Genomic DNA, 12,057 nt, shown 5'->3' on the forward strand with positions numbered 1-12,057 from the left:
GACCTTGAATAAAACACTGAATGTGGATACTATAGTGCAAAGCATCTATATAGGAATTAGGACAGTGGAAGTATGAGGTAAGCTGCAAGTGTAATTTGAAAGTTTCCAGCAGCCAGATTAAAAAGGTAAAAAGAAACAGGTGAATGGATTTTAATAGCATATTTTATTTAACCCAATATATCCAAAATATTATCATTTCAATATATAATCAATATTTTAAAAGGAGACATTTTATATTCTTTTTTTGGTACTTGGTCTTCAAAATCCAAGGCAACCACATTAAAAATGATCAATAGTTACATATGGCTACTGGCTACCATATTGAACAGAACATTTAAATACCTACATAGTTAATCATCTGGAATGCAGAAGTGTCAATATACTGAGGTAAGCCAGCAAAAGGAAAAAAAAAAAAAAGATGATGAAAAAAAGAAATATGTTTACCAAAGACGTGGCACAAATATTCTCCACTGCCTAAGAAGGGAAGGCGAGGTAGATTTAGCATAACTAAAATAAGAATGATTTGGATTTAGATAGCTTCATAGCTGATGAGATGGGACCAAAACATTTCTACTACTATGGGCATTTTTACAGAATCCTCTTCCTTGGAATACTGTATAAAATACACATAGTTTAAAAAAATAACAGAATTAGCTCTGAAAAAAAGACAGGGAATATTCAATACTGCTATAAATTCCTTTGAGCTTTTAAAGATGACTCTTAATGTATATAAAGTTACACTCCATAAAAGGCTGAGTAATTTATAAAAGACTGAGTAATTTATACAAACTCCCAAGAGGCACAATGAAAATATGCATTTTCCTTTTAAAAATCGTGAAGGAAAAATGACAGTATCTGGAGAAAGAAAAAGGAAAAAGACTATCTAAAACAAGAGCAGTCATTTGGAATGAAATCAGATTTCATAGTATTTAGTAGTGGCATCCTCCAACAAGTAAGATGTTAGGTGGGAGAGGATACTAGAGGCTGGGGAGGGAGGGATAGAGAGAGATTTGTTAAAGGATACAAAATTACGACTATATAGGAGGAATAAATTCTAGTGTTCTATAGCACTGTAGGATGACACTAACAATATTTCATAGTTTCAAATAGCTAGAAGGAAGACACTGAACATTCCCAACAAAACAAATGACAAATGTTTGTGCGTGCTAATGAATATGCTAATTACTTTGATCTGATCAATATACATTATATGTATAGAAATATCTCTATGTAGCCCATGAATATGTACAACCATTATTGGTCAAAGAAAAAAGATGTTAGATGGGGCAAGAGAACTGGATCTTAGAGTACTTCCAATTGATTCCAAGCCTCTATGCACACAGTACACTATTTTTTCTATTGGTCCTCATATAAACAGTATATAAACAGAAACATATATCCAATCGGAAAAAAAAGTGATTCAATATTTTATATCTGGATTAAACTTATACTTGAATTTTTCCTAAATTGGCCTGACAATTGATGAGCAATAAAATGGGCTTTAGTTTCATTTAAATTATGTTCTTCTCCTTTAAATTCCTTTGCCATGGAGCAGTCAAAGGTGGTTTTTAATAATGACTCACATATCAAGCTGTAGTTCAAAGTTGACGTTGTCTGGACCCGGTGTCAGTAAAATACTTAAGTTACTAAGTCATGAGAGATTTTAGTTATAGGGCTTCTAAATTTTCACATCCAGAATCTGTTATTAATATGCCATGACCTTAGGCACACTACAACCTTAGACTCAACCTGTCCATCTTCTTAAAAAAAAATGAATGTATTCTTCTCCATCTAAATTGTAGGCTGCCTACAGAATGCAAAAAAAAAAATTATAAAAAAAAGTCTTACAATGAATAGCTTTAAGGTTTAAATTCAGTTTGTCAAAAATTGTTAGGCTCCTTGTTGTTCTCAACCGTTTTCTTGCCCAGTCCAGCTAAGTGTAACAGGGGTTCCTAAGTCATGTTCCAGTGATCTCCAAGAGGGAGGAGAACGTTTCTTGCCTACAGAAATTCAGTGGGCTGAGAACCTTGGAGTGGCAGGAGTCTTCAACCTGTCCTTAAAGCCTGGGAAACAAACTGATATCCAGAAAGACCTGGCGTTACTCAGAGCGCTAGCTCCTGGGGTAGGTGTTGAGGCTGCAGCTTTTTATGAAAGAGATTCCTGACAAAGATTCCTCTGCCCACAGGGGATTGCCCATAGCAACTACTTCCACAAAAAATGCCTTGTGGGAAGTGGGGCATGAGTCATACTGTTTTAGTTACTCCCCTGTTCTCCAGACCCTCCAAACTGGAAGATGCAGGAATATCCCAGTGTGAATCACTGTGCTGTCCTGGTGCTGACCACCACAACATCCACCAGTGACTTAGCAGAAGTGAAACCAGTCAACCCTAAGGATTATCAAACATGGGCCAGGGCAACTGTCTCCTACTGGCTGGTGACAAAGCTTCCACTGGTTCCTGGTATCTTGCTCAGAGAAATTCCTGATACCAGGGCCCCCAGCTACACAATCCTGAGGATAGACAGAAGATGGCTGCGGCCCTCATCCAGAACCACACAGGAACCACCACAACCAATTTATTATGGGCCAGCTTTCCAATTTTCCAAGATTATTCCAAAGTCAGGAAACTGAATTAAAATGATGACTTCCATTTATACAAACATGTCTATGTGAATTTTACGACACTTTTTTTTAAGTGACAGAACACGTGGAATATCCGCACTCTACTTCATCTCATGCTGTTCTGAATTTTTCAAACAGCTATCAAGAAAACAAGCAAATTCAGTAAATCTCATGAAGTTTTTACACTGCATTTTTATTAGGTCACCTGAAGTTTGCCACGTTATTCTTTCTTGGAAAAGCATTCATTCAAACATTTTTCTATGTTAAACAGTGATAATAATCATTTGTTTATTTAATGAAGTGGTTCTCAACCAGGGGTGATTTTGGCTTCTGGTAAAATCTGGCAATCTTTGGAGAAACTTCGGTTGTCACACCTGTGAATTCTAATGGGTAGAGGTCAGGAATGCTGCTAAACAATCTATAATTCACAGAACGACGACCCTATACATCAAAGAATTATCTGGTTCAAAATGCCAACAGTGCTGAGGTTGAAAAACCCTGGCTTAATGTCTTCGGTAGGTGTATTTTTTTTGAAATTTTACTTTTCAATCCATATGGCCTGGCATATAAAAAAGGCAACTTGTTAGGGAGAGGCCACTAGGCAAGATAGTTTAATAATCAAACAGTTTCTGGGCTTTGAAGCCCAAGCATCTGTAACAACGAAAATAATAATGTGACATTTTTGAATCATGTTTTAAATTTTACTGTTTTAGCACATTTTCTCCTCAGACTCTAGGTATTATTTTGAGTGTCCTTTTATAAACTATGTTGAGTCAAGCCACATGAATTTTAGCTTAGAACAAAGCAAAGTTTCTTGAGGAAATCACTATTTCAATAGGAAGTCAGTTATCACTGCAAGATTTTCAGTGGAGAGTGAATGACCATGGATGTGCCTATTTTAGAAACAACTCCCAAAAGGGTAGACTAAGCCAGATGATACCAAAGGTCACTGACATTCAAGGTTTTTATACAAAACCAGCTAATGATTGTCATTTCCCTGTTTGTCTTTGATCTTGAGCACAGAATCAGTGTAATACAATGAATGCTCAAGGTCTGAGTGCCTCAAAGTGTGAACTCCTGACTTAGAGAACTGACCCAGCTTTACTAAAGATACCGGTGCTACCTGAAAGAATTAACACTGGCATACTCTAAAGGAATAGCTGCTTGTTTTATATAATAAGTACCTGTCTCAGTAATGAAGGGAGAAGAATCAGTATTTTATCTTTTAAAAAACTAGATTACTCAAATTTTGTAGGCGGAGTAGGGTTCACTAAGCAGCCTCATCTCCTACAGATGTGCCCACGATCTGATTTTTGTACTCTTCCTCCCTCACAAATTACAATGTATTTGAGATAAATCTTCTAATTTTTGAAGTTTGAGAAGTGGCTTGCTTTATCTTACTGATTTTTATGCTGCTATTTAATATTCTCTTTAAATTAAAATTGCTGCCACAAAAAGGGGATGCCATGGCACACAAAAAGGCATCCACTCACATACTTGTAAAAAAACAAATTGCTCTAAATAAGATTAACTGAGACTGGATATACCAATCTCAAATTAAATAAACTAAATCCATATGGCCAGACATGTGATTGCAGGGGAATATGGCTAAAGGAAAAATATATGACTTGGATAAATGTTCACAACTAGCAGGACATAGATATCCCTTCCAGGCTGGCCACCTGGCCCACGCTGTGGCATATACACTAGGGTTAGGGCTGCTTACACCAAGCACACACCAACAGCTTCACTTGTGAGCTGGTTCAGAGATTTTAAGTGCTCCTACAATACAGTAGAAAGAGGCTCCATGCTGTACCACAGACACCAGAGCCTAGGATCACTAGGTCACAAAATAGATTCACAAAGAGTTTAAACTATCAAGAAAAGTTCATAGCCTCAAAGGAAGATGAATTATACAGATGTGTGCACAAATCCCACTTTGCAGAAGGTGGCTCTTGAAAAATGCTCATTTTTTGTTTTACTTTATATTGGTTTTAAGACAAAAGTGGCCAGTAAAATGATAATCACAGATCTAAGAGTAATTTCAGTAACCACGTAGTGCAAAGCCTGCAATTTACAGACGAGAAAATGGCACCCAGAGGTCGTACACACCAGGTAAGTTTATAATGAAGTTAGCAGCTGAGCCAAACCCCAATCCCAAGTTGCCTGACTCCTAGACTATTACTCTTTCTAGTATGTTAGGCCACCTGTCATCTAAATGACATGCACCACCCTGGGAAAAATATTAAGAGTTTTCATATATCAGAACTTAAGGGCTTCATCTGACTTAATTTATTAAAAATAAAAGCAAAGAGCAGTGATGTTCCATCTGCATCCTTATTTAAATATTATCTACCCTCCCATCAAGTTTAGGGCAACACACACTTTCCTTTTTTTCTGCTGAGTTCTGTTTTTTTTTTTAAATATATCCCCAATGATGTTCTATCCATACAATAAAACCGAATCCTTCAAAAGTTATCTCTATGATAATTAATATTCACATACACCTGTGTTAAAGAACCGAGAGCAGTTTGAGATGGAAAGAAGAGTAAGAAGTGAGGGGACAGAAATGCAACAGGAAAAAAGGAATTAGGAACAAATGCTGATTTTGCCACAAATGCACTGCTGCACATTTACAGCCAAAGTGCTCCATCTTCTATTATGTATGACTTTTAGTAACATCAATATTGATCCTCACTATTTTAATGCAATTAAATAATCAAAGAAAATAATCAACCTATTTTCAAAGAATATTGTTAAAAAGAACAAATTCCACAGTTCTCATTAAAAAGAATGACACAAAGCAAGACAAAACTGGGTGAGCCAAGTGTTCTTTGTTGTTGTTGTTGTTTTATAATGCATTTACAGTTTAATTAGTCTGTTTTTAAATTTAGTTCAGTGTGTGTGTGTGTGTGTGTGTGCGCTGACTTTAGGTTGTGAGCAGTATGGGAATCATAGCAAAATTTACTGTTTTGGATTTTAAGAATAAAAACAAAATAGTGCACCTAAGGAAGGAAGACTTAGGCCGTATACCTTAGTAGTTATTGACATATTCCACTAATTTTATATCAAAACCAGCCTTTTATTAAGATTGTTCATTCTAAAAAGTCCCCAAATTACAGTCTAATTAAATGGGAAAATATGAACTCTGAACTGCTTATGAAAGGAAACAACATATATAATTACTAGCTAAAAGTATACTTTGTTATGTTAAAAAATAACTTTCCAAATCCTGAAAAATCTCTAATTAAATAGACATAAATAAAGTTATTTTCCTTGCTCCCTGACATGTCCTATATACCACAGAAAAGGTTACTATACAATCCATTGGAAAGTTCAAAACCAAAAGAACAATCCAGGGAACATAAAGAACTTGAGTCTTCAAAAAATGCTCCCCACAGCAGCAACCAAGTCCAAAGTGGGTTATGTTCAGGGAAAATGGTGCAAAGAAGACTCTTGAACAAGGAGGAAGAATCCTTTGGGAAACTTTTCCTGTGACTCGGACCAGGTACAGCCACTACTGTCAGGACTGCTTTTCATAGGCATGTAAACATAACTGTAAATGCCTTAATGCTAGGGCCTGTGTCCCATTCAGGTATATCCCATGCACAGCCTGGCAAAGGACCACCATATGGGGAGCTTAATAAAGAGCCAAAACGAATGTGTGAATAGAATAATGTTCAAGAAGCAATCAGACACAGACCACCACAACCTGCTAGAAAACAAACAGATCTCCATCAGTAATTGTCATCTACATACAATCAGATCCTTAAAGATTAAAATTCTAGAATTTGAGATCATCAGGTTTTGCAAATTTAGATGTTTTATGCATAATTTATAAAGCATTCAATAATGCCTTAATATTGAGCAATATTGAGTGGACATTCTACAACTGATCAATTATAATGCAAATATAGAAAATATATGTCTGCTATTTATATATACCACCTCTATTGTGCCCTAGGACTGAAACTGTAACCCAATATTCATTCTCGTCTTCTCCCACAGTAATAGATGTTTTAGCTGGGCATACTGCCACTCACAATAAAAAGTGCATTTCTCTGTCTCCCATGAGGTTGCTGTGCCTTTTAAGAAACCTCTGACCAATGGGATACATGGGTAAGTGATATGTGTACCTTCCAGGTCATGCGTTTAAAAAGAAGAGGGCATTCTCTGCCTGCCTGCTGCTTGGACAGTGAACTTGACTGTTGGCCATCTCAGACTGCAAATGAGGGCAATACTATACGAGGACCAAATGACAATGAAGGAATCGGGATCCCTGGATGACTTCATGGAACAAAGTCATCGTATCTTTCCTGGAATGCCAGCTTCCAAATGGTTACATGTGAGAGAAATAAACGTCTTCCTTGTTTAAGTTATTGTTTTTTCTATTTCCTGTTTCACACAGCCAAAACTGCATTTTGCCTAACTCATAATAAACCAAGTGAACAAAAACCACTATGTCTAAATTATCCCTAAGTACTCTGACTAAATTCTGTCATACACACATACACACATCATGATTGAAACTACACACACAGGCACATTCATATGGGTCATAATGTGTGTCATATATATATATTTTGTATGTATGCATATAGGCCCCATTTTCAGATGGCATATCATTTCATCATGCTGATAGGTCCAAGATACTTCCTCAACTTCCTCTCAAGTCATTCAACCAGATGTTTTAAAATATGACCAACTGAGAACTTGACTAAAGAAATCACAGGATGTTCAATAATATATCCATATATTTTGATATATAAAATATATACATCACTTAGTTTTCTCCAAAAACTTTGCTATTACATAGTCATAGATATAAAACAAATATATGTCTATTCATGACCAGAATTGATATTTCCTGTAATGGTACATGGCCGAACACGCTGTATGTATTTAGAAGATATGTCAAACCTATAATAAAGAAGACAGATGAACAGTACTATAAAACACACAGATATAAAAGGGAGGCATGATTTATGCCCAAGTCAGAGAGAAAACCTATGGAACTTCATCGACCCCATCTATCCTATTCTACATTGTAAACCTATGAATGAAAGAACAGTATTGAAGAAACACTCAGTCACAACACACATGGGTCACCCCTAGACACAGATATCACCCACACTATTAAGTTGTTTGTTGTTGTTTTTATTTCCTTTGAAAATGATCTTAAACTCTTAGGTAAGGGTTTCAGCCCTACTCAAGAGAAAGCCCCTTTGGCCACAGGTGTTAAGATTTTACTTAGGGAATCTGACTCTACTCACAGGCACTGTAAAAGCTGATATTTGATAGGCTCCTTCCAAGTCAAGGACAAATACAGAAATCCATGGAAACCACAGTGAAACACTAATGTTATTCTGTGCGGTTTCACATTAAGTATCCAGTGCTTAGAATATGTTTTACCCAGTAACCAGCTTTCAATCAACTAAAAATGACCGCAAGAAATCCTTAGCCTTCTGGTTACCCAGGGGTTTAGGGTCAATAGAAAACACCTAAATAAACTAAATTGTCCAAGAGATCATTACAAATGACATGAGAAAACATGTGATTGTTTTCTTAAAGGAACATGCATTTTCATCACAACCACTCTATTTAAACTACTCTCAAAGGGCCTCAAAACTGCCCATTCACTGAATGCAACCTTTTCATTATGTCTCATTTTTCTTGGCCTCCCTGCAGTATTCTAACTCCTTGGTCATTCCTTAATTCTTGGAATTTTCTTTGTCTTTAGCTTGTGTGGTACTGACTTCTCCCCTAACCTCTACATTTGGGTCCCACAATTCAGGCCTCAGCTTTCTTTACTCTTCTCTATATTCTGCACCAACTCTCATGCATTAGATTCCCTAACTTCTTCCACAAAGCTAGACCCAATCTCCAGCTCTGGATGTCCTCCCTGTAGCTACCTTTCCAACAATTCAAATTCTTTATCACTTTCATCAATTCAACACTCATCTACTAAGTATTGACTGTGTGCTGGGGATTAGGGTTACCAAAAAAAACAGACACTGTAGTCCCATAAACTAAAACCACACTCACATTGGTGCGATAGATGATAAAAGTCTGAACCAGTAGCATAGAAGCACCTGTCTCAGTGGCTGTGCACAAAGCTGTGATACTTTGCCTGGGTTTTGTAAAAACCCCAAGCAGCGAAGTGAGCAGGGCAGAATGGGACGGTGGAGGTGAGATGAGTAAGTGATTCATACAAAGCTGTACAGCCCAGAGAGTTTGGGAACTGCAATGATTTCCTTCGGTAGAGAAAGAACTAAAGGTGATAGAAAATGAGGGTGGTCTTCCCTTCTCCCTCTTGACACATGGTGTTGGTGCCTCTGGATTTCATTTGGTGGTACTCGCATTCTTCTAATTACTTATATTCAAAACCTTGAAAGTTTTAGGCTCCTTTCTCTTCCTGGTACCATATGCCCAAAAAATGTCAAGCAAAACATCTCAATTGGCTTCATCTAATTTATACCTATGTTTTAAGGCTTAGCTCAGATGCCATGTCTCCAGGAAACCTTTTTCAACCTCCACCACAGCAAAAAGTAATCAGTCTTTCAAGGATCTACTAATATTGTCTGTATTTGTATCAAACAACCCCCCTTTTTAATGAAAAGCTTATGGAAAGCAAGACTATTTCTATTCAGTGTTGTACTATGGTATTTGTGCACAGCAGGTGCTGCCTTTTTTCTCCTAGGAGTTTTCTTTTTGTTTTCCCTACTCATTATTACATACTGGCTTTTGTAATCTTCGGTATTTCAAAAATCACATTTTACGCTATTAGCAAAGTCAACATAAATTAAGTTAGCTAAGTTGGGTTTTTCATTTTATTAATTATTGGACTCCATGGTAAAGAGTGGGGTGGTGCTATGTAATCTGAAAAATTCCTTCCAAGTCTAGAATTCTATTAGTCTTTGATCATACAAAATATGGTTAACGGAAAAACAAGTTAGCACGAAGATTTCTAATTATAAAACACTAAGAAATAAACTCTTTAAATCACGACCTTATAAGGTGATTCCATCAAACTTTCTTAAACACAACTCTTTTAGCAGACTAGAGGTGCTTCACTCTTAATGCCTACGAATATAAACACTTATTGCCTATGAGTATAAACATTTTCTTAAAACACTTAGTAACTAAAAGAAATTCTCCAGTGGGCCTCATATGAATTATTTAACAGTCATGTATTAAAAATGAGTAATTTCTAATTAATAGGACAACCTTTATCAAGATAGATGTTTCTAGTAAAAAACAATCTCGAGACAATTTTAGATCATGATGAAAGTTTGTGAAAAATGTTAAGATATGGTAGCCAACAAGGTGACAAATTGTGTTTTAACACTTTTTATATAAGAGATCAATTTTCAGGCCTCAGTTCTGCCTATCTTGATACAAGTGTTAGAAAGCTGATATCCCAAATAGTCTAAAATACTACTCCAAATATATAAATATTTTTAAAGATAAAAACTGCTTAAAAGTCTCACTAAAAGCAAATCCTGAACTAAGCATAACAATTCAGAAAGAAAGTACAATATATTCCAAAGTGTTTTATTCATGCTGCATACAAATGTATCTGTAGTAAAATAAGAGTTGACAGATCACCTCTCAGATGCTATGATGATCCATGTATTTTTGATAAGCATGCTGCTAACCTGCAGGCGTAGTTTCATAAAATGAAGAATTTTATTCAAAATCATTTAGCAGCAATCATCTTATGTGATTAAGTCACAGATATTAACTGAAGCATTATTTTGCTAATACTCAATTTTCCTTTCTTGAATCAAATGATTTCTGTTCACTCATTCTTCATTACTAGAGAGAGGATAGGTTTTTGGATGAACCCAGGAGCAAGCTCTTTTCAGGCTTGTTTGGAGGGGGTTCAAATGCATTGCTCCATCCTGGCTCATAAGAAAAAACCTCAAACATAATTTTGATCGTGCTTTAGAAAGAAAAACAGACACCTTCCTACCCTGGCAGTGATGCTTGGAAGGGAATTGAAGCACAGGCTTCATTCCACTGTATCGATCTCACTAAATAAAGGGTTCTGAATTTATTGATCAGCTCAGACTAAACCCCTAACTGTTTGCAAGACCATGCATGATGTGAAGCCCTGGTTCACTGAAGAAGGAAGAACTGAAAGCACTTTTGTTCTCAGGCAGCCACAGAGCAGCAATTTACACTAAGTAGTAGATGAACATGATTAAAATAATAGACAGCATTCAGTTACAGGATGGCGGGAGGTGGGGGAGATAAAACTTATGTTAAATTCAAAGATTTCTCAATTTTAAGAATGATGTAGTAACAAGTGAAAGGTAAAACTATCTTTAAAAGAGGAATATTTTATTTGCATGTTTCTAAGCAGAAAAGCAACTCAGTCTCTAACACAGTTGTTTCCTTCAAACCCCGAAAATATGCCTGTAGTGATTTTTTTTTTAAGGCTACACAGCAGTTTCTTCCCCACCCTCATCACTTTCACTGACTGCTAAATGATGCATACAGGGAGGGGTAAATCCAAGATTAATTTTAAGGTTCATTTTGTACATCTGCTCATTTTCATTTTCATTTGGAAGGACATTATTTTCTTTAGTCAAACTCAATTCTCATTCAAAATAAGCCTGAATGTGCTGCGAATTGATCTTATTATAATAAAATATTGCTGCCAAAATTTACAGCAGGCTTTTATCTCAGAAAAAGGAAAACCACACCCCTTTATCCTGGTTTTCAGAACACAGGCCAAGCATGTGTTTCCCAATTTCTGTTAGCACCCATTTTTACACATTCAAAGCGTTCTCAATTTTAAAACAAACAAAAAGAAAGCCTAGTTGTTTTTTCTAAATATTGGCCACTGGAACATCTCCCAAAAGGCTTTCCACCTAGTCTTTCACATTCAAGGACTTAAGTACTCTGATCTACTACTTCGATATCTTGGTATTTAAAAGAGAAGAAAACAATGATTTTGTATTCAACCACTGCATTAATTTTTCTATTTCTTAACTCTTTTCAACTTAAAACAAATAAAGTAATTGTTTCCAGTCAAGAGGGAGAAAACTCTAGCCCAGGAACTGAATTCAAGCTTGAATGCAATCCAAATATGGGTTTGGCCACTAAATAGCTGTACAGTGTGGTATCTTCAGCAAGTTGCTATGCCTCTCAGTTTCAAGATATGGAGTACATGCTGCCTGTTCACTGGGTTGGTTCTCACATTTTACGATAATTATTTGAAAACAGCATTAGACACAAATATGAGTTATTTTTTAAACTGTGTGGGATTTAAATGCTAACATCTTTATGTCCACTTTATCAGAGAAGACTACAGCTGTCACAAAGACCTTACGTACTTTTTAGTTGGGCAGGGAAAGGGGACAGACTTCTACTTTACAATTTACGTTCCAGTACGTGAGACATTAGAAAACTTCTAAGTTCCTTCCTCT

General features: G+C 36.2%; 1 protein-coding gene across 3 annotated transcripts in view, besides 1 other annotated feature; it reads right to left on the reverse strand.

The window, feature by feature from the left end:
• Positions 1-12,057, reverse strand: part of CDH2 (cadherin 2) — a 244,252-nt gene that overhangs the window by 180,194 nt on the left and 52,001 nt on the right. The window lies entirely within an intron of this gene.
• Positions 2,133-2,427: a silencer, noted in NCBI's record as "tiled region #6705; HepG2 Repressive non-DNase unmatched - State 7:EnhWF, and K562 Repressive non-DNase unmatched - State 24:Quies". NCBI's record gives its function as "represses a minimal TATA promoter and a strong SV40 promoter by Sharpr-MPRA in HepG2 and K562 cells {active_cell/tissue: HepG2 | K562}" and the evidence as "EXISTENCE:reporter gene assay evidence [ECO:0000049][PMID:27701403]".

Source organism: Homo sapiens, chromosome 18 (genome assembly GCF_000001405.40).
Source record: "Homo sapiens chromosome 18, GRCh38.p14 Primary Assembly".
NCBI classification, from domain to species: Eukaryota; Metazoa; Chordata; class Mammalia; order Primates; family Hominidae; genus Homo; species Homo sapiens.